This window comes from Homo sapiens, chromosome 4 (genome assembly GCF_000001405.40).
Source record: "Homo sapiens chromosome 4, GRCh38.p14 Primary Assembly".
Taxonomy (NCBI): domain Eukaryota; kingdom Metazoa; phylum Chordata; class Mammalia; order Primates; family Hominidae; genus Homo; species Homo sapiens.
Window position 1 is genome coordinate 53,431,432 of NC_000004.12, and position 23,724 is coordinate 53,455,155.

General features: G+C 34.9%; 1 protein-coding gene across 60 annotated transcripts in view; it reads left to right on the forward strand.

The window, feature by feature from the left end:
- Nucleotides 1-23,724, forward strand: part of FIP1L1 (factor interacting with PAPOLA and CPSF1) — an 83,222-nt gene that overhangs the window by 53,791 nt on the left and 5,707 nt on the right. For 17 of the 60 annotated variants that reach the window (NR_164847.1, NM_001376745.1, NM_001376759.1 and 14 more), the window contains 4 exons: nt 9,151-9,177; nt 11,222-11,276; nt 12,617-12,672; nt 21,489-21,702. Coding sequence is in view for 57 of the 60 variants with exons in the window: in NM_001376745.1 (NP_001363674.1) it covers nt 9,151-9,177; nt 11,222-11,276; nt 12,617-12,672; nt 21,489-21,702 (352 nt within the window). In the remaining 3 variants the exon portion in view is untranslated. Of the gene's footprint in view, nt 1-9,150; nt 9,178-11,221; nt 11,277-12,616; nt 12,673-21,488; nt 21,712-23,724 lie in introns of all 60 variants that reach the window. The other 43 variants (NR_164848.1, NR_164849.1, NM_030917.4 and 40 more) reach the window with 7 other exon arrangements.

Here is a 23,724-nt window from a genome sequence, read left to right on the forward strand (position 1 = left end):
CTTCAAAAATAATCAAAAGAAAATGGAAAAACATTTTTTTAAAGAATTAATTTAAATGTATTTTAATGTTGCCTTTTTAACATTAGACTTCTAATGTTTTTAAAAGTAAAGTCCAAAATATGATGAGATAAGTATAGTAATGATATTTTATTCTCATATTTTAGGATGCTACTAGATTTTTGTTTTGTTTTGTTTTGTTTTCAAATAAATAGGGTGACCATACATCCAGATTTGCCTGGAAGAGTCCTACTTTATACCTTCTATCCCAGCATAATTATTATTCATTCTTAGAAAGAAATTCCCTGGTTTAGATGATACAATTTCTGATTGACTCTTGGAAATTTACAGAGGTCTTATTGCATAAGTAGATAAGTTACTGTTTAACAATTATAAGGTGTTAGAGATAACTCTCATTTGAAGGACTTTTAATGTCAAATAGTTCACAGAAGAGGAGAAATGTATTGCCTCCTCTCACCCTTAAACACACACCTGCAAACGTATATGAAACTTTGCTAGTAACACAGAGAGGACAAAGTATTTCTGGCCATAATAGATTTGTATGAAGAGTAGAGGAGATTTATGTATTAGAATACAACAAAGAAGGAAGAGATGTCTGGAAGTGCAAAAGCATTTATCGTGGTTCCCTGCAGCCATACTAACAGTAGCTTGAAAACAAATACTGGGCCAGGCATGGTGGCTCATACCTGTAATTTCAGCATTTTGGGAGGCTGAGGCAGGAAGATCACCTGAGGTCAGAAGTTCAAGATCAGCCTGGCCAACATGGTGAAACTCCATCTTTACTAAAAATATGAAAAAATTAGCTGGGTGTGGTGGCATACACCTGTAGTCCTGGCTACTTAGGAGGCTGAGGCAGGAGAATCACTTGAACCCAGGAGACAGAGGTTGCAGTGAGCCGAGATCACACCATTGCACTCCAGCCTGGGCGACAAGAGCAAAACTCCATCTCAAAAAAAAAAAAAAAAAAAAAAAAAAGAAAGAAAACAAATACTGGCTAATTTAGTTCTTCTATAATATCCAGAAAATCTGTTATTTCATTTTCTCGTGAATCAGAAAATAGTTTCCATTGTATTAAGTTTTTTCAGAAATACATTACAGTGGTTTCATGCTTTTTCTGAGTAATAATAGATATAATAGCTAATACTTATTGAATGCTCACTTTTCAGGGTACTATTCTGAGTACATTCCATGTGTTAACTCATTTGATTCTTGAACAATATCTGAAGTAGATGATATTCTAATTTTGCACTGAGGAAGCGGGGACCTAAGTCATCTGAGTAATAGCTAGAAAATAGTAAAACCAGAATTCTAACCCAGGCAGTTTTGCTTGAAAGCCTGTTTTCTTTATTAACTATGTTGAAATGAATCAGTACCTATATCCAGAAAATCGTATTATTGGATTACGTGTATTTGTCACAGTCCTAGAAACTTTTTTTTTTAAAGCATTTCTCTGATGTTGAAGTACATGCATACGTATTTGTGGGTAGGGAAGTTAGGGAGATTATAAGGAACAGTCATCACATTTTTGAAAATCTGAATAAGGTTTTTACTGTTTGCCTGGCTTGTGTTAAGAAGTCTGTGTTTAGCTGAAGTCAGTTTTGAAATATTTGTTTATTGGAAGAAAAACTGTAAAACTGGAAGTATTAATGTTATAGGGTAGGTGATTTTGTGTGTTTGTTTATTGTGGTAAAATACAATCTATTTGTCATTTTAGCCATTTATAAATATGTAGTTCATTGGCATTAAATACATTCACAATGTTATGTAACCATCACCATGAGCTGTACCTAAAACTTTTTCATCATCTCCAGTGAAAACTCTGTGCCCACTAAACTCCTTCCCTCCTAAGGATAGCCCCTGTAACCTCTATTCTACTTTTTGTCTCTATGAGTTTCCTTATTCTAGGTACCTCATATAAGTGGAATCATGCATTTGTCTATCTGTGTCTGACTTACTTTGTTTCTAAAATAATAGAATTTAATTAATGATTGTGAGCTAACTTTATGGTAGGCTTTAATTTAGGCTTTTAAATGTTAATTTACTTCAGTGTCATCATATTTGATGTTCATTTTTTTTTTTGTAGTGGAGTTTACTGTAGAATAGAAGGTAAATTCAGTTAAACTCATTTGTTTTTGTATGAACTCTTATCAGCCTCAAATGACTAGTTCTGTGGGTCTTGGGAACAATTGAAATGTAGCCCAGTAGTGGAATTCTGCTGAGTTGAAGAAGGGTCTTTGCTTTACTGAGATATAGCCCAACTACTGTGGACCACAAACCAGGATCCCTGCTTTTAAAGTTAGCTATAGGGTTTAACTGTTTATCTAGATACCAGATGTGTAGGATTCTGCATTTTAGAAAGAAGTAGATTTCTTCCTAAAAGACTGTTGTCTTGTATCAGTGTCTGGCTAATCATCTAGTACTACTAATTTCATGAACTTTAAAATCTTATTTATTCCTTAAATATGTTAATTTCGGGTTAGGGATGATATATAGGAATCGGGTCAGGGGGTGGGGGCGGGTGGCGAGTTGCTCATATCTAGGGTCATTCTGCATTTCCTCTAAGTCCTGCATTCTCATTAGATTATTTTTCTGTTAGCAGTCTGGTTCTTTAGCACAGCAGTTCTCAAAACTTTTTGGTTACGTCTTCTTTAAACTCTTTAAAATTACTGCAGATCCCATAGAGCTTCTACTTATGTATGTTTTATCTGTTTTTTAATATTAGAAGTTAAAACTGAGAAATTAAAATATTAGAGATATGTATAATACACTCATTACATGTTAACATTTTTAAATTTCTTATGAAAAATAACTGTACTTTTCCTAGAATAATTTTAAAAATTTAGTGGGAAGTGGTCTTATTTTATGCTTTTGGAAATCTCTTTACTATGTGGCTTAGTAGAAAAAGCTGGTTTCTCCTGTTTGTTTTCACATTAAATCTATTGTGATATCACGAGTTATGTGGCCCCTGGAAACTACACTGTAAGAGAATGAGCATGAAAAAGGCAAATAACATCTTAGTAAATTTTTTTTTTTTTTTTTGAGATGAAGTTTTGTTCTTGTTGCCCAGGCTGGAGTACAGTGGCACTATCTCAGCTCACTGCAACCTCTGCCTCCCAGGTTCAAGCGATTCTCCTGCCTCAGCCTCCCGAGCAGCTGGGATTACCAGCATGTACTGCCACACCTGGCTAATTTTGTAATTTTAGAGATGGGGTTTCTCCATGTTGGTCAGGCTGGTCTTGAACTCCTGACCTCAAGTGATCCACCCACCTCGGCTTCCCAAAGTGCTGGGATTACAGGCGTGAGCCGCTGCGCCTGGCCACAGCTTAGTAAATTTATGAAAGTAGTTTTGACCTGGCAGATTCAGTAGGGTCTCAGGGACCTCCGGGAATTCCTGGACAGAACGTTGAGAACACTGCTTTGGCAGAAGCTTGGCCTGTATTGGATGAATATTATCAGTGCCCTTGAGGAAGTACACTTTTATCCCTTTAATTGAGAAACTAGTTTATGACTATAATGTTTATTAAGCTAATTTTATAATACCATGAATTTTTGGTCTTACTCAACAGATTACCTCAAATTAACTGGCACTGTTTGCCAGAAATGTAAGCATTTTCCAGAGTTACCATTAAAAAAGAACTCAAAGTTTTTGAAAACTGTATTTATTCTTGTGTTTTTCTATATTCAATTTAAAAAGCCTGCCTATCAGTGTTTTCATTAAATTCAAAACAGAGAGCAATGCTAATTATCTATAATAAATAGAATTTTCTGGCACAATTAAAATTTATTTAAATGTAAATTTAATAGAGATTAAAAGCTTTCTTAGGATGTTGATTTTTGAATGTGCTTTCTCCTCCAGGATGCACCCTTTATAATAGTTACATTTTGAATACATCATTGACACCACATTTTGTTGAATCTAATTACAGTTTAATTTGTGCCTTCTGCTTACACTGCTCTTTTGATCGTCTCATGATTATATGGAAGCTGGTAGAGATCATTTCTTTACAAGTTCTCTATTAAAAAACATAGGTATTTCTATCAAAAATGTTTTGTGTAAGATAGAAGTTTATCTTCTGTAGGCTTTAGATTTTATAAAATAGAAGAGTAACAGATCCTAATAAAGGTAACATAGTTTGTCCATTTTATAGTGTATGTAAAATTACCTTTTTTACCTTTTAGACATGAAGTATGCTGGTAAATTTTTGGTTACTTTGTTGTGTGACCGTACCACTTTTTAACCCTTTTTTCTTTTCTTAAAAATAACTTAAAACTTTTTTTGCACCTTGTAATTGTTTTAATTATGAAATAATGGTTTTGCCATATTCTTTCTACATTCTGGTTTGTATTTAAGGGTGGATGGTAGATGAGATGATACACGTGTGTGTGCGTATGTTTTTGTTTGTGTTGAATTTTTAAAATCCTGATACATAGAAACGCATTTCTGGTAGAAGGTGATATTTAAAGATTTTTGTAAACCTTGTCCTTTTCTACTCATTTTGAGTAAAACTTCTGAGCTTGATGGCTTTGAAATACAAGTCATGAGACTTAAGGAAAGTGATCAAGTTTATCTGTTTCTTAAATAATAGTGCCGACGGAACTTGGAATTTACTAGTGAGAAATAGGAAGCGTAGTTTACATATTCTGCCATTTTTTTTCTTTCATGTGAATTTGAATAGAGAAAAGATAGATGGTTATTGCATGTATTGGGTTTCTACTGCCGTATAACAAGTTACTCCAGAATGTAGTGGCTTAAAACAACATACATTTATTATTGAACAGTTTTCATGGGTCAGGAATCTGGGACAGCTTAGCTGGATCCTCTGCTTTAAGGTCTCTCTCAGACCTCACAGTCTTCTCCAAAAGCCTGACTAAGGAAGTATTTGTCTCCAAGCTCACTCACCTCTTTGTTAAAAGGATTTTGTTTTTTTCTAGGCTGTTGCATTGACAGGGCTTCAGTTCCTCACTGGTGTAGGCGTCTTAATATGTTAGCTTGCTTAATCAAAGCATGTAAGCCAAGAAGGCAACAGAGAGGGTGCCAGTGAAATAGAAATAACTGTCTTTTGTAACCTAGTCATGGAAGTAACATCCTTTGATTTTTTTTGTGTGTGGTAGAAATAAGTCACAATGTCCAGCCCCCACACAGGACATAAATACCAGCAGACAGGGATCATTGAGAGCCATGTCAGAAGCTATTTTGCCTTAGTTATATAAAATTATGATAGACTACATTGAGAATGAGTTTATAGACAATCTGTTTAGTTTTTTTGTGAGTGCAAAGCCCACTATTAATTTTGTGGGAATTTTTAGTATGGGTAAATTCTTTTTAATATGATGTTTAACAGGAATGCTGCCTTTCTGTTTCTTTGCCTCAGTTCTTTCAATCTCCAAAATAGGATTTCAGGTCTTACCCCCACCCACTTTTACATTTAAGTGTATGTGTTATATGCTGGAAAAATTAAGCTGGGTGTGGTGGCTCACTCCTGTAATCCCAGCACTTTGAGAGGCCAAGGCGGGTAGATTGCTTGAGTTCAGGAGTTCGAGACCAGCCTGGGCAACATGAAGAAACCCCATCTTTATAAAAAATGCAAAAATTAAGGCCAGGCATGGTTGCTCACACCTGTAATCACAGCACTTTGGGAGGCTGAGGCGGGTGGATCGCTTGAGCCCAGGAGTTTGAGACCAGCCTGGGCAACATAGCGAAACCCTGTCTCCACAAAAAATGCAAAAAATTAGCTGAGCATGGTGGTACACACCTGTAGTCCCAGCTACTTGGGAGGCTGAGGTGGGAGGATTGCTTTGAGCTGGGGAGGCAGAGGTTGCAGTGAGCCGTGGTCATGCCACTCACCCTACACAACAGTGTGAGACCCTGTCTCAACCAAAAAAAAAAAAAAAAAAAAAAAAAAAGAGAGAGAAATCATCTTCTCTTTTGAGAATGCCAGATGGTGTAGGCTCTCATAGTCCTTTTAAGTGTCATAGGTAGATGCTTTTGTTTCATAAAAATTCGGAATGGGATTTATTTAGTCTGTACTAAATTGCTCAGCAGTGAAATTAGGAGGGAAGCTTAGAATCGGATCCAGTGATCCTCATAGTATAGTCCTGGGCCAGCAACATCATCTGGGAAATTTAGGGGAATGTAGGTTTTCTGGTCCCACCCCAGACTTACTGAATCAGAAATTCTAGGGGAAGGGCCCAGCAATCTGTGTGTTTTAAGAGACTCTCCAGGTGATTCTCATGCATGTTCAAGGTAGTTTTTATTTATTTATTTATTTATTTATTATTTTATTTTATTTTTTTGAGATGGAGTCTCGCTCTGTTGCCCAGGCTGGAGTGCAGTGGCGCGACCTCGGCTCACTGCAACCTCCGCCTCCTGGGTTCAAACGATTCTCCAGCCTCAGCCTCCTGAGTAGCTGGGACTACAGGTGCATGCCACCATGCTTGGCTAATTTTTTGTATTTTTAGTAGAGACAGGGTTTCACCATGTTAGCCAAGATGGTCTCCATCTCCTGACTTTGTGATCTACCTGCCTTGGCCTCCGGAAGTACTGGGATTACGGGTGTGAGCCACCGCGCCCGGCCTATGTTCAAGTTTTAATACCACTAATCTGTTCAGTCTGTTAGAGCTTGAGTATTACTTTTCCAAAAGGTTTTGGCTGGCACTAGAAATCTACTTTTACTACTGTTACATACAGCTTTCCAGGAAAATCAACATTTTTTTAAACTCATTTTTCAGATAAAGGATATAGAAAAGAAACAAAATACTTTCCTTATTTAAGTCTGTTGTCTAGGTTAGGCAGCATGTGTTTGCCAGGAAGATGGAGGTGTTGGGAGGGGAAAGAAGAGGGACGTTTGAGATGAATTTTCTCTTCCCTTACACTGTTTCTCTTTTATTAAGAAAAGTCAAATACTAAATAGTGATTTTTAAGTGAGAATGATGTTGGCCTTACATGATATCACGTATCAGTTTGAAAATACATTCAGTAATTGTCAAAGAATTGGTTATATAGTGTTTCATCAACTTTATAGTCTTGTTTTAATGAACATTTACTTATAAAGATTTGCATTGAAATAACATCTTAGATGAAATGGAGGTCTCACAAGAAGGGCCCTTGCTAGTTGCCATGCCAACTTTCTGATGTGTAGGTATTGATTGGAAAGACCTATAAATGACATGGTTTTTTCTTTGATTATGTCTTTAATTCCAGTAGATTATTTTTGTCTGTCCTATGATACTGCTGTAGTAAGATTAACATTAAAGGCAGACAGTAATTTTAACTACCTTTGTAATGTACTTAATTCTTTGGTCATATGTCTTTTATCTCTACATTTTGTGGAAGTTTAACAACTTAAATGTTTTTGAGGACTAAAGTTTGAAGGGGCTGACTAGTAATTTTTTAGTTTTTAGCATGAATTTACATTTTAGTAAGCTGTAGTAAGCCTTAGCTAAAGTGATACATCCTGCTCACATAATCATTTAGGTAAAGTTATTAGGATTATAGTATATAGAATGGGTGGATGATTTTGGTATATTCCTTTATCTTATAAATCTTATCTTACAAATCTGTATCTTATAAATCTACGAAAATAATCATGTATTTACTTATGAAAACTAGATCAAATAGTGAAGTTAAGTAGTGTCCGTATTGTTCTAAAGAAAATTAGGTTGTAGTATATATTAAAAACATTTAATGATCTGCCTTCCTTACTTTTCTCATTTACTTTGGAGTCTGGGACTCTACTAGCTTGTATGGTTTGTTGGATTCTTTTAGTTTAGTAATTTGGGAAACAGGAAGGTAACCTCAGGATGGATGAGAATTGCCATTAGCTATGGGTCAGTTTAGTAGACTTGTGGATTCATAAAGATTTTTGAAACTTGATGGCTGCTTTATGTATCTTTAGTCTTGTTGGCTTTGTAAGTTTGGAATATGTTTTTATTGTATGGGTGGTTAAAATCAGGTGCTTTGGTCTCTTTTTTAAGGCCATTTGCTACCTTAAGATCTTTTTAATCTAAATCTCTTACTCTGATAAAACATGCACATCAGAACATGTTTAGTGTTAGAATATGTTTCCTTTGACAAGAAAACATTTGAAAACAATTCTGTTTCTTTTTTTGGCATACATTTAGCTAATAAATTAGATTATTTTTTGGACTAATTTTGATGCAGTTTTTAAGATAGGATTTAGGAAACCGTTCCAACTGTTTTAGTTATTTATGGTATACAACTTTTCATGAAAAAGTTACTTTAAATTGTCTTACTTTTTTTTATTTTCCTGCTTAGAAATCTCTCATTTTTCCTCCACTGAAGATAGTTAAAATTTGCATGCCACATAAATTGCCTTTCATGTATCTCTTAAATTTAAAATGCTGAATTTAATTTTAGTATTTAGTAAATACATTTTACATTAGGCTTTAAGGGCACATTTGGTCCCTGTAAATTAAAAATATACATAGTTTATTCCTCAGAGTTTATAATGTGTACAAATAATGAGTGAGAGTCACTCAAATTAATATTTGCTAGCACCTGTAGAAGTAAATCATTCACGTTTATGTTAATGTGCCCTGGGGGTGTATATATATGAATTGGTTTTTCCCCCTTTCTCTCCTACAAATCAAAGGAAATGTTAGCCTTTTCTCACTTCTGCCAACAATACTAGAACAGTCAACACTTGAATGAACCACAACATATTGAGCTTTACAAAAGTCAGTAATATCCATCATCTTGAGTTATCCTTGTACTACCTGCAGTATTAGAGAAAGAACCCACAGATCAGTTTTTCTATTAAAATGTTAAAATAACAACCTCAGGCATTGATTATCATATTTAGTAAGGATTAACTTCATGGCATTTGATAATTGTGTGTGCATAAGTGTGCTTTTTAACTGATGTCTAACTTTGTGATTACTAGTGGGGGAAACCTTGTTATCAAGTTGTTAGACTGGGTTTTCATCAAGGAAGTTGGATGTTATACTCGAATTGTTAGTCCTCTACGAGAAAACAGAATGGTTCTCTTGAGTGAATAAGCCAGGATAATGAGGCGAGGGGTTTTATTTCAAAGTTTGTTTTGGTGATGGCATAAATACATAACAGGTTCTGAAATCCAATTACTATATTAAATTTCATCACTTGTTTTTTAGGTATTCCAATAACTGTACCACCTCCAGGTAAAACTTTTTTCATGTTTTCTCCATCATTGTTAATAAACATGAAATTTCAAGCTTATAGTTACAGGAGAGACGGTGTTGATGCGGTTAGAATATGGAATAGGCTATGGGGATTTCAAGGTCCTATTTTCAGCTCTGCCTTTGCTTCATTCCAGTTTTGATTAAGATATTTAGTTTTCTTATACCTGTCTTACCCGTTTCTGTAGAAATAGAGATTCTGAGAAAATTCTTACCTATTCAATTTGTGAAGAAAACAGTATAGGATATAAAATAAAAGTTTTCTTAAAAATGTCTTTACAGACCAATGAATTTTTTATGTAATATAGTGACTATAAGAGAAGAGAAAGATAATTTATTTTGTCTTTATCATTATTTCCGATTTTTTAATTTTAGTCCTGCTGGCTTAGTATCGTGAGAAAATGTGTTCTAAACCCCACATAGCAACTAGACAGACAGCTGGTCAGGTGGCTGTTCTTAGAGTGGTGATTGTTTATTGTTGTAATAGTATGATCACTAGGAGTTTATATGTGGCCCAGTGTTTTATTTATTTATTTATTTATTTATTTTTACATTTTTGTCAGTTATTTCTTTTTATAGTGTGATATCACACCTGGTAGCAAGTGTGTCTTCCTGAGTTCAGTGTTAAAAGCCAAGGTGTGTAAAGAGAATGAGAGGTGATAATGCTTGCAAGGGTGGGTCTAAATTCAAAATGACTTCAATAAACAGAAAGAGTGAAGTTTAGGTAGCATAGTACAGTATACATACTTAGATGTGGAATACAGACATTGATTATGTGTGAATGTGTCTGAAAAAGACTCATCAGGGAAAGTCAAAGGAATCATTTGTGTCTTTTTAGTTTAAAAAACAATGTGGTTGTGAGGCTGTATGAAATAGGATTGTGGACTTTAGGACTAATGTGGTAATTGCCAAATTTTGTACTTTTAAGATGTTTAATAGAGGAATTATAGATCCTAACACTGGATACAGTGAAGAACATGGTAAACATGAAAACAATTTGAAGTGGGGCTAAAAATGGATTTAAGTGGACCTTTGAGAAGGATTCAGAGAACTGATTCATTTTTTCACAGAATTACTAAAACGGAGGCTTAGTGGAAGTGTTTTCACATAACTAGAAGGTGATAGACAGTATGACAGTGGAATACCTCTTGTTCTCATTTAGGACAGTGTCTGAATTGTAGTATGAGAGACTTAAGTTAGATAATTTAGTGCATTTCCTAGTAGTGAGAGTTGTTAATTGTTAACACTTGGAAGGAATTGGTATCATAAGGAATTGACATCATAAGTTTTGGAAATCTTTTTCTGCTAGGATGCTTTATAGCCTATCTGAATTTGAAAGTGTAGTGTAGATTAACTGTTTTTTAGCCATATTATTCTGTGGTATTCCATTTAGGTATTGTGAATTATTCAGAATGCAGACCCCACGATATAGAGGTACAAATTATATTCCTTCCAAACTAATACACAAACTATATTATGTGCTTTTCTTTGTAAAACAGTTTGTTAGGGTTGTGCTATTTGAACATATTTTCTGGTGGATATTCTCAGCTTTGAACACTGTACATTTACTGGTAAGATTTTATTTATAAATTACACATTTTAAGGAAATTTCTATACTTCTAAAACTCGAAATATTTTTTGAAAGAGGTAATTGCTATATATCTGCTTTCCTTCTAAAATATTTCAAATATATCTGGTGGCTACTGTTTTATGTATGGAGAAGGTAAGGCATTGAGATTAACTTTCTCATACTTACAAAATGGGCTGTGTGTGGTGCTGAAAATAAGACCGGTGTCCTGACTCCCAGTTTGTTTTCTGTGTATTAGACCAGACTGCTTACTTAAAGTTTTATTGCGCTAAAAATCTGTTCATAAGTTTGAGCTCCATTTTTTTCTGTCCATTATTACAACATAGAGAAGCACATTCATATCCCCAGAGAAATTTAGTGATATGCAGCAACTTTGTTTCACTCTTGACATTAAGTGTACATTGTTAACATTTTTTATCTTATGATTGAATGTTTCAGGTTTTCCTCCTCCACCAGGCGCTCCACCTCCATCTCTTATACCAACAATAGAAAGGTAAATCAGTATGGATACTGATTTTTGATCATTGATAGCCTTTTGACAGAAGAACCATATACTTGGAAATATTTTCAGATATTTAATTTTATAAACACAGCACCTGTCTTTTAATTTATAAATCTAGATCTATGTTAGTTACTTTTATATAAGATGTTGGACCTGTAGCCCGATATCAAAACAGGGCAAAGAAAACTAAAATCGTAATATTTTGAAATAATATCTTGCTTTGATTTATGACACACTTGATTAAAGAAGCTCCTAGACTGTTAAAAACCCAGCAAGTCAGTTTTATGGGAAATACAAACATAAATTACTGGAAATCATGAATAATACATGTCTGTTTTGGGATAAAGTAGGGAAAACTATTATGGGACCATAGTCAAGAAAAGCTGTCTTATTCCTTGATACACCATCTCAGCTTCCACAAAGAAGGATTAGATCCATTCTGTGTGGCAGTAGCCTTATTTTTTGTACCGTGTATTTAAGGCTTATGCTAACTAGAACGCTGTACAAAGAATATTTCCTTCATGGGTGGCAGTATGGTGTTTAACAACATAGAAATCAAACAGTGTTGCTAGGCAAGGTTCGTAAGCCCTTTGAGACTCAGTTTTCCTTTTTACCAAAAGGGTTGATAGAATTGTGAAGATTTAAAAGGCTACTGAATATAAAGTGCAAGTATAATTCTTGGCAGATAGAAATCACTAATAAGAGTTATTGTTATTTCCTCTTAAGTGGCAAATAAACTGTTAAAAATAGTGTGTTTCTGAAAAAATGATTCAAATAATGTAAAAAGGCAAAATATGTGAGAACTTTACATCAGTAGCATCAAACCCTGCATATGATTTTCAGAGGAAACTATAAAATCAAGAAAGTATGAATTGTGAGAACATAAGGATTTAGTTTTATTGAGTGTCTGTTAGACACATTTATTTTCTCAGTCAAAATGTTAAAAAGTATTCTTTGTTAATCCTGTCAGTGGGGCTGAATTACTGATTTATCACCAAAAAACCAATTATTTAAGACTAAATTTTTAGTCTGAAATATTCTGATAGCCTGAAATTTTCTATTACTTTACTTGTAACTCAAGCTAAGTTGATTGGATTATTTATGTTAAATAGTATTAGTACATCCTATTTTTCTGTAAAATTAGGTATTTTAATATTTTTTAGGTTAAAAAAAACCCCATGTTTTATTAATAAAATTATAGAACTAAATTATCATTAAATTGGTGGTTGGATAAAAGTTGTAATTTTGCCTTGTTTTTCCTTTTGTACTACATTATTAAAATTCAGAACTTATTTGTACCAGACATAAAAATATATCTTTTTCTTCAACAGTGGACATTCCTCTGGTTATGATAGTCGTTCTGCACGTGCATTTCCATATGGCAATGGTAAGTAGTATTATTTAGATGCCTAGATTCAGTTTGAATCAGTAAAGTACTTGAATATTTTTAAAGCAATAAAAACGTGTTCATGGTTTAACATCTTACAGAGCAATTAAAAAATATTAACTACAGGAATGAGTGGTCTATGTATCTGCCAGGTTAGCAAACAATAAATTTAATGTATTTATCAACTGTGCTTTTAAAATTAATTCATGGTGACACAACAGGGATATTTGTACTTTGCCTTTTCTAAAAGGATTTAGGATTTGTCACCAATTTGTCTCAATCTTCGTTGTTTGTAACGTTTCTATTTCTTCACTTATGGCACACACCTAACCTTGTTTCCATCTTTCTCCCTCGCTGGTTTATTTTTTTTCTGTATCATGTGTAGGTCCCCTTTCATGTTCATTCTTGACAACTTTATCCATTCCAAGGCCTTCTGACCCCATTTTCTTTTGCACCTCTTGATCAGTCATTTATTTTAAAAATGCTGTGCATTGTACTAATTTTTTTTTGGAGACAGAGTCTTGTCTGTTGCCTAGGCTGGCGTGCAGTGGTGCGATCATGGCTCACTGTAGCTTCAACCTCCTGAACTAAAGTGATCATCCCACGCAGCTAGGACTACAGGCGTGCATCACCATGCCGGGCTAATTTTGTAGAGATAGGGTCTCATCATGTTGCCTAGGCTGGTCTTGAACTCCTGGGCTCAAGCAATTCTCCTGTCTCAGCCTCCCAAAGTGCTGGGATTACAGGTGTGAGCCACCACACCTGACCTGTACTAAGTTTTAAGGATAGAGTAACCTGTATAGAGTGCTTGCCCTCATAAAAGTTATAGGCTTATGGGGAGATAGCTGGGTGACAGGAGTTAGAGGGTGTCATGGGAGCATAGCAGAGGGGTCTCCTACTCCAGAGAAGTGGAAGGGTAGATAATTTGACTTCCAGGCTATTCAGAGATAAAGGAGTGAGAGGGAACATGGTAGGTATTAGGAGCTGGAAGAAGTGTGTTGTGGCTGGAATGTAGAGACTGTGTGCTTATGCAGGACGTTATAGCCATGCTGTGGAGTTTGGACCTTATTCAGAGGGCTGTGTGGAACCAGTTAGTTTTATGCTGAGTTGTGAAGTTGCTACATTTACATTTGAAAAATCTCCATTCTGGCTAGTTACGATGAGGAAGTTTTGAATTTATAGGGTGAGTAGAAAGGTGGGGTTGGCCTTCTTGGATTGGAACAGCAATAAGAAGTTGTGGAACATGTGGGGGAGTAAAAAATAATTTTCTCCCTACTCTTCCTAGTTCTTAGGATGGACCCTGTATTAAAAGGCACATTAACAAGAGAGAAAAGAACAAGTTTATTAACATGTATACCTCATATATCCATGGGAAATAACCAGGGAATGAGTAGTTCTCAAAGAGATGGCTTAGAAATCCAGATTATATAGCATCTTCAGTAAGGAGCAATGAATTTTTAGAGAAGTGACAAGATAAAGGAAAAGGGCCTTGAGTCTTCATGAGCAACCAGTTGTGGAAAGGCAATATATACTATATAAAGGCTAGTTGGTGAACATTCTCATGCAGTTTCCTCTGGTGCCTTGTCCATGCCGATAAGGGTCTAAATTTGTCTTCAGTGATCAACTTTTGTCCTTTCTGGTAGAGAGAGGAGGAAGGACACCTTTGTCTTTGTAAACTTACATCGTGCTTTTAGGCAAATTAGGGAGGGCGGGAAGCTTTTCTTGTATCTGCATCTGTTCAGCTACCTTCAGCTCAAAATAATCCTTATGTCAGAGAGGGATGTTTTGGGGTGACATATTCTGGTCTCCTACAGAAGTAATCCAGAGGAAAAATTAGGATGTCATGTACTCAATACCATTGAAGATGGAGATGAAGAAAATTGAATAGACTCCGAAGGATTTATTTGATAGAATAAAGTCTTAGTGGTAGATCAGAAATAGGTACCAGTCATACACTTCTAGGTATCTCTATCAGGGTATCGTACTGTCCTTCAAACTGTACCTGTTCAAACTGCGCTTGCCATTCATTCACTACAAAAGATGGTATTTATGTTGACTTACTTGTTTCAATGACTATGTTTCTTCCCCTTCTCCCCTTTTTTTTTTGCTAGATATTTAAGTAGTCATAGTCCTTGGGTTGTAATCTTGATTCCCCCTCTTACCATTTATGTGACTTAAAGATATTCAGCCATTAAATGGACAGCTCAGTTCTTCCTTTTAATGTGGAGTTCATTGAAATACATTGAAGCACCTTAGTCCTGCCATTTAGTAAACCATCAAATGTTACCTGTTATTTTTTATAATTATCACCCTAATCTCCAACAAGCTCCAAGTTCCTTCCCTTTTCTGCACTCTGAGGCAGTGTAGCATCATTGTTAAAGCATAGGCCCTGCAGTTAGACAGCCTAGGTTTGGGTCCTGGGTTCATCTCATGTTAGTAGCTTTGAATAATAACCTACATCGTTTTTTTCATCTGTAAAATAAATTTTGACTATTAAGTACTTGGTATGATGCCTTTAATATGTAAGCATTTGGTGAACATGACTTATTAAAGTTTGATTGTTTTACTATTTTAATGAGACTTTCCAGTTTCTATTTTGTTATTCAGTTCCATGTATATTTGTTTCAATACAGATAAACATGAGGAATACTCCATATTAGAAAGAGAGTAATTCTTGAGATTACCCATTCAGTTTCATTACAGAATATTTTATTTTTTAAAAATGCTAACTTGGTATTTAACTTTTTCTCAAGGTAATACATGCACATTTTTATAAAAAAGTGAGAGTCTCTTGCCCACTCTTTCCTGCCCCCAACTCTTCTCTCAGAGACAAGGTTTTTTGTTTTTGTTTTTGTTTTTGTTTTTTTGAATGGAAAGCCTCTTTAGTAATAACAATTATAAACCACATTGTAAGAAGTAAATAGAAGAAAGTTAGAAGTTTCCTAGTAAAACAAGGTTTTAGAATGCATTTGATAAATACAGCTTCTTTGTTGGTGATTTCTGTTTTACCTTTGTTTTTTGATGTGTTTTTAGTTCTTTCAGTGGTCTCTACAGCATTTCTATATATGTTTATCACCTTATTTCTTGAGTATATAACTTACATACCATCTGTTATCTTTCAATATGATAGATATGTATTTTGCTCAGTTATCATTACTACCCTTCTGTTTTCTCCCACCAATAAAATTATATTACTATTTTTGCTCCTCTTCTCATTTATATATGTATTACTATTTTTGCTCCTCTTCTCATTTATCTGTTTCATGTACCATTCTACTGTGGTAAAATGAGAATATTAGTGCGTCTTTCTAAGCCTTCACTGAACTTTTCTTTCTCCACCACCTAGCTTTGCTCAACTATACTTCTTACAATGTTTACATTTTGTCCTGTAACAAAAATAATTCGTGGTCTGACAGATTTTTAAATCTAAAAGCTAAACAATAAACAACATTTACATTATTATGAATGTGTAAATATTGTGCACTGCAGAGATAATTATACACCCAAGCTCCACAAGGGAGAAAGTTACATGACAAATAATTCAAATTACAAGTTGAGTATTCCTTATCAGAAATGCTTGGGAGGAGATGTGTTTTGGATTTCGGATGTTTGTTTTGGAATATTTGCATATACATAATGAGATATCTTGGGGATGGAAACCTAGTCTAAACATGAAATTCATTTTTTTCATGTACGGCTTATATCTATAGCCTGAAGTTAATTTTACTCTATTTTAAATATTCTTGTGCATGAAACGAAGTTTTGACTGTATTTTGACTGATAACCATCACATGAGTTCAGGTGTGGAATTTTCTACTGGTGGCATTGTGTTGGCTCTCAGAAAACTCTGGATTTTGCAGTATTTTGGATTTTCAGATTAGGAAATCTCAACCTGTACCATTGTTTTTCCTTGTATGTCATCAGTTGTGTAAAGTCTTACACATTTTAGTGGGGTTCATATTTGGAACATGCCTTTCTCCACCTCAAGTACATAAAGATATTCTTTAATACTTTTTTCCTCCCAGAAAAAGTTTTCAAGTTTTGCTCTTCACATTTAAGTCATTTGGCCATCTGAAATTAATTTTTTAGGTATAAAGATCTAGTAGTTCCCAAATCATTTATTGAATAGTCTGTCGTTCCTGAGGGATGTACGATTGTCGTCTCTGTCATCTATTACATATCTATGTGTATGAATCTGGTTTTGGGCTTTCTAGATATTCAGTTGGTTAGCTGTCCCTGTGCTAATAAATTCCATAATATCTTTAATTATGAGTTTTATAGTAAATCTGATATCTAGTGCATCAAAATCAATTGTTGCTTTTACATATGTATTTTAGACTGAACTTAGCAAGTTCCATGAAAAACTTGAGATTTTGATTAATAACATTTGTATAGTACTTACTACATAATGCTCTTTGAAGCAATTTATGTTAATTTATGTAATCCTGACAGTTTTAAAGTAGGTGTATTGTTACTATCTCCATTTTATAGATGAGGAAATCAAAATATTAATTTCCACATGTCACACAGTAAGTGGCAGAGTCAGGATTTGAACCTATGTTGCCTGGCTTCAGAGTCCTTGCTTTTATTTACTATACCATATTGCAATTGCACTGATGCTCTAGATCAGTCTGTGTGGAATTCATACCTTTACAGCATTGAGTTTATCAGTGATCAAGGACTTTCTCTCCATTTGCAGAGGTGTTGTTTTCAATAAACTGCTATAGTTATCTCCATACACTTCTTGAATGTCTTTGGTTGGATTTAGTCCTTAGGTACCTAATGTTTTTGTTGCTGTTATAAGTGTTATATACATTTGAACAGTGTGTTCTGTTTATATTTGCTTGTATTCAGAAATAGTTGTTTGGTTGGTTATTTTTATAGCCATTTACCTTTCTGAACTCTCACTATAATTTGTAAAGTCTATTTGGGAAATACTCTTGCAGATAATGACAGTTTTGCTCCTTTTTTTTTCAGATCCTTGTTTGTCCCTTTTTTTGTTTTGTTTATTTGTTCTGGCAAGAACCTCCATTATAATATTATATAACAGCAAATTAAATTATAACAACATTATAATGTCGAAGTACTCAAAGTGGAGTTCTTGTATGATTCCTTTTTTCTTTATAAAGGAAATGCTTCTAGATTTTTACTGTTAGGTTTTTGATAGAACCATCAGGTTAAGGAAATTCTGTTCCTCTCCTGATTTTCCAAGGGCTTATAAAACTATGAATAGGTACTGGGTTGTATCAAATGCTTTCTGAGATGATCATAATTGTTTTTCTTCTCTAATCTGTTAATGTGACAAATTACATTGCTACATTCTTCTAATATTAAGCTACTGTTGATTTGCTGAAATAAACCTAACTTGCCCATGATTGATTATCTTTTTTCTAGATAAACACTGATAATGTGTTTCTAATTATTTAGGATTTTGACATCTAAGTTTATATGTATAATAAAATTGGCTTAGGATTTCCCTTTATTTATACTGCCCTTACCTGATTTTGACACCAAGATTATACCAGCCAGGTGGGATAAGTCAGGGAATAATCTTTTTTTTTCCCTATTTGCTGGGAGTTTGTGTAATATTGGAATGATCTGTACCTTCACTCACCTGTAAAAGGCATGTGGCCTTGTAGGAAGATTTTAAATTACTGATTTAATGTCTTTAATAGTTATTAGACTCTTCAAGATTTCTTTTTTGTTTTGAGTTTGGTAAGTTTTTGTTTTTGTTTTTAGTAGTTAATCCATTTCGGCTAAGTTTTTAAGTGTGTTGGTATAAAGTGCAGCATATTCTCTTTATTGTTTAATCTGTGTTGTCTGTAGTTGTGATCCCTTTTTGCTTCTGATGCTGTTTATGTGTTCTCTTTTTTCTTAATCTTGTCATAAAATTGTCGTGTTTTATTTGTTGTCTTCAAAAACCAACTTTCAGTTTTTTTCCATTATATGGTAGTTTTCTATGTACTTGATTTCCATTCTTTGTTATCCCTTTTTTTGTTGGATTATTCTGTTTTTCTGTGTTCTTATATTGGAGACTTAGCTCATTAATTTTTATTCTTTTCTAATGTAGTATTTTAAGACTAAATTTTCTTCTGGAACAACTTGTATCCCTAAACTTTCGATAAATCTTATGTTTGTCTATGTTTAGTTCCTAATGATTTAAATTTATGATGTTTTTGACCCATGAATTATCAGAAATGTGTTTTTAATTTGAAATGGTTAGGTATTATTTTCTCATAACTTTTAAATTTGACTTCTAACTTAAATTGCGTGGTGGTCAGAGAACAAATCTGTTACTCTCATCCTTTGAAAGTATATGTACATTTTCATAAATGTTTCATATGTGCTTGAGAAGAATAATATCCTTTGTTATGGGCAGTATCCTATGTGATGTCCATTACATCAACCATGCTAAGAACATGTAGCTCAAGTCTTTATTTGCATGGTGGCCTGCGCCTGTAATCCTAGCTATTTGGGAGGCTGAGGTGGGAAGATCACTTGAGCCTGAGAGTTCAAGGCTGCAGTGAGCACTGTTCTGTAGCCTGGGTGACAGCAAGACCTCATCTCTTAAAACAAAAAGAAACCACTTCTGTATTTGTACTGATTTTTTCATCTGCTTAATCCACCAGTAATTGAGAGAAATATGTTAATCTCCCATGATCATGGTGAATTTCCTGTTCCTACCTGTATTTCTATTAGTTTTTACTTTCTAAAACTTAAGGTGATGTTGTTAGCTACCTGGAAGTTTAAATCTGTTCTGTTTCCTTGGTAAATTACATCATCCATCTTCATGTGATCATCCTTTCTTTCCTAAGTAATGCTTTCTGTTTGAGTCTGTTGTGTCATTAATAAAGCTACTCTTTTTTTTTTTTTTTTGAGATGGAGTCTCACTCTGTTGTCATGCTGGAGTGCAGTAGCGCCATCTCGGCTCACTGCAAGCTCCACCTTCCTGGTTCAGGCAATTCCTCTGCCTGCCTCAGCCTTCCAAATAGCTGGGATTACAGGCATGCGCCACCATGCCTGGCTAATTTTTTTTTTTGTATTTTTAGTAGAGACAGGGTTTCACTATGTTGGCCAGACTGTTCTCGAACTCCTGACCTCAGGCAATCCGCCCACCTCTGCCTCCCAAAGTCCTGGGATTATAGGCATGAACCACCGCGCCCAGCCTGAAAGCTACTCATTTTCGATCGGGGGTTGTTTTTTTTTTTTCCTCATCTTTTTTCTTTCAACCTTTCTGTGTGTTTTTATGTTGTTTATATTCAGGTTATAGTTAGGTTTTTAAAAAATACAAATCAACAATCTTTGTTTTGTAACTGATGAGTCAGTCCCTTTTTATTACTGAGAATATTTAGCTATTTGAACTTAACTGTCCACCTACATCTTCGTCAAGTCGTCTTGAATTGACTGAGTTTCTTTCTCACTGATTTTCAAAAAATCCTGTTTTCTTCATTGTTTTGAAACTATACATTTTCTTTTTTTTTTTTTTAGTGGTTACTCTTGAAATTTATTATTCATACTTAACAATGTGTAGTTACATATAATTTGAACATCTTTCTCCATCAATACAGAGACTTTAGAATAATCTTTCTCTTCTAACTTATATCCTATTGTGGTTCATTATTTTAGTTTTCTTCTTTTTTAAAAAAAACTCTGCTATTGAATAGCGTATATTGTTTATTTGGATTTGCATATATGATTACCATTTATTTGTTCAACCATTACTTCTTTTCATGTTAGATCCTCTAGGATAATTTTTCTTTTTCTCTATCTGATAGACATTCCTTTTTTTTTTTTTTTTGAGATAGAGCCTCACTGTGTTGCCCAGTCCGGAGTATAGTGGTGCAATCTCGGCTCACTGCAAGCTCCGCCTCCCAGGTTCATGCCATTCTCCTGCCTCAGCCTCCCGAGTAGCTGCGATTACAGGCACCTGCCACCGCACCCTGCTAATTTTTGTATTTTTAGTAGAGACAGGGTTTCACCATCTTGGCCAGGCTGGTCTTGAACTCCTGATCTCATGATCCACCCACCTCGGCCTCCCAAAGTGTTGGGATTACAGGCATGAGCCACTGCACCTGGCATGATAGACATTCTTTTGGTAAAGTCTGTTGGTTGTAAGTTTTGCTTATTTTTTTGTTGATGTTTACAAAGGCTGTTTGAATCTTGAAATAAAATATTGTTGAGTACACTTTTCTAGGTTGAAATTTTTTTCTCAACACTTTTTTTTTTTCTTTTTTTGAGATAGTCTCACTCTGTCGCCCAGGCTAGAGTGCAGTGACATGATCTCTGTTCACTGTAACCTCCGCCTCCCGGGTTCAAGTGATTCTCCTGCCTTAGCCTCCCAAATAGCCGGGATTACCGGCATGCACCACCATGCCCGGCAAATTTTTATATTTTTAATAGAGACGGGGTTTCACCATGTTGACCAGGCTGGTCTCAAACTCCTAGCCTCAAGTTATCTGCCCGCCTTGGCTTCCCAAAGCGTTGGGATTACAGGCGTAAGCCATCGCGCCTGGCCTCCTCTCAACACTTTGAAGATGTCCCAGTGTATTCTGGTTTCCATTTTTTATATTGGGAAGTTTGTGGTCAACCTAATTCTGATTCCTGTTCACCTTGTATAATGAAGGGTCTTTATATGTTAGGTTTTTAAGATTTGTTTCTGGATCTTCCCGATACTGTGGGTATTCATTCACCATGTGATATTTCTCTTTTCTATTTATAAAATGAATTTCTATTATAATCTCATGACACATTTTTGGTGGGCATTTTGTTTTTTTAAAGTACCATAACGTTTGTTTTTAATCGTGTTTTTTCTTTAGTTGCCTTTCCCCATCTTCCTGGTTCTGCTCCTTCGTGGCCTAGTCTTGTGGACACCAGCAAGCAGTGGGACTATTATGCCAGAAGAGAGAAAGACCGAGATAGAGAGAGAGACAGAGACAGAGAGCGAGACCGTGATCGGGACAGAGAAAGAGAACGCACCAGAGAGAGAGAGAGGGAGCGTGATCACAGTCCTACACCAAGTGTTTTCAACAGGTTTGTTGGGTGTGCAGGAGTTTATACTATGTATTTTATAAGCACTTACAAATTTATTTTCGTTATGAGGAAGTGAATTTCAGTTCACTTGGAAAAGAGATGCTCAGGGAGTACATAGGAAAGCCATCTTAAAATGATAAAGGATTAGAGGCTTCCCATTACCTTGAACAGTAGTCCTTAAATTTGTTTGTTTACTTATCTCTTAAAAGAATTTTCTACCCCTTCATTTATTTTTATCTTGCCATCTAAGTTTTTCATCTTAAGCTTAAATTAGTTGACCATATAGATATTTCCAGTGTATTATAAATATTAATATTTAAAAAGAAAATTATCACCACTTCTATTATTATTCTATTTTTAGAGACGGTCTTGCTTTGTCATCCAGGCTGGCTGGAGTTCAGTGGCATGATCATAGCTCACTGCACTCTTACATTGGAAGAAGATGCCATCTAAGACTTTCAGAGCTAGAGAAGAGAACTCAGTGCCTGGCTTCAGAGTTTGAAAGGACAGGCTGACTCTCTTGTTTCCCAATGCATTGTTCCCTAACGTAGGAAGTCCTGGGCTCAAGTGATCCTCCTGGCCTAGCCTCTCAAGTAGCTAAGACTACAGTCATGCATCACCATGCTTGGCTGATTTTTAAAATTTTTTGTAGAGTCAGGATCTTGCTGTGTTGCCCAGGCTCACTCTCTTAAAATATATCCAGTGGATTAAAAACACTATAGTGATTTTCCAAAATTATCCATTTTTTAAAGAAAATGTACAAATAGTCTCTCTTTAAGAATTGGAAATTTTACATTTCTTTTTGTATTCAAATTTTTACTTCTGTACCACTTCCCTCAAAGAATTTTGTTCTAATGTAAAAGTTTCATAATCTTAAAACTTTTTAAGTGGGTTTTCCTATTAGTCTTTCCTGCAACACACTTATGTGTTAAGTTTTAATGTTTAAGGAAATTTTTCTTGTATGTGTTTTAAAAAATTTTCATCCTGATTTTAGTTATTTATATTCTGTCAGTGCAAACCACATGTACAACAGTGGTCTCATAAGATTACAATACTGTTTTTACTGTATCTTTTGTTTAGATACACAAACACCATTGTGTTAAAATTTTCTACAGAATTCAGTGCAGTAATATGCTGTACAGATTTGAAGCCCAGGAGCAATAGGCTATAACATATCACCTAGTGTATAATAGGCTGTACCATCAAAGTTTGTGTAAGTACACTCTGTGGTGTTTGCACAACAATGAAATCACCTAATAATGCATTTCTCAGAACATATCCCTGTCATTAACTGACACTTGACTGTATACATATACCGCAAATTTTGAAAATAATGTAATGGAATTGCATCCTTTAATGAGAAGGAGGAGCTTTCCACCATCCCCAGTGAGTATTACTATTGTTAGGAAAAAACAGAGTTTGTTCAGAATGCTTAAAATATTCAGTAAACCATCCTGTAAACAGATGTGCTGCCATTCAGGCTTTGGTGTTCCATTGATAGAGCACAGGCAGAGTCGATTTACCATAATTCTAAGTCGATTTACCATAATTCTAAGGACTCCAGGATTTTCAGGGTGGTAAATGGGCACCAACTTCAACTTAAAAACACCAGCTACATTAAGGAACAATGCATTAGGAAACAAGAGAGTGAGCCTGTCCTTTGAAACTTTGAAGCCAGGCATTGCCTTCTCCTCTCTAGCTATGAAAGTCTTGATGGCATCTTCTTCCAGTATAAGGCTATTTGGTCTACATTAAAAATGTGTTGCTTAGTGGAGCTACCTTCATCAGTGATTTTAGCTAGATCTTCTGGATAGCTTGGTGTAGCTTCTACATCAGCAGTTACTGCTTCACCTTGTACTTTTATGTTATATAGATAGTGTCTTTCCTTAATCCTTACAAACCAACTAACCTCTGCTAGCTTCCATTTCTTCTGCAGCTCCCTCACCTATCTCTGTCTTCATAAAATTGAAAAGAATTGGGCTTTGCTCTGGATTAGGCTTTGGTTTAAGGGAATGTTGTGTG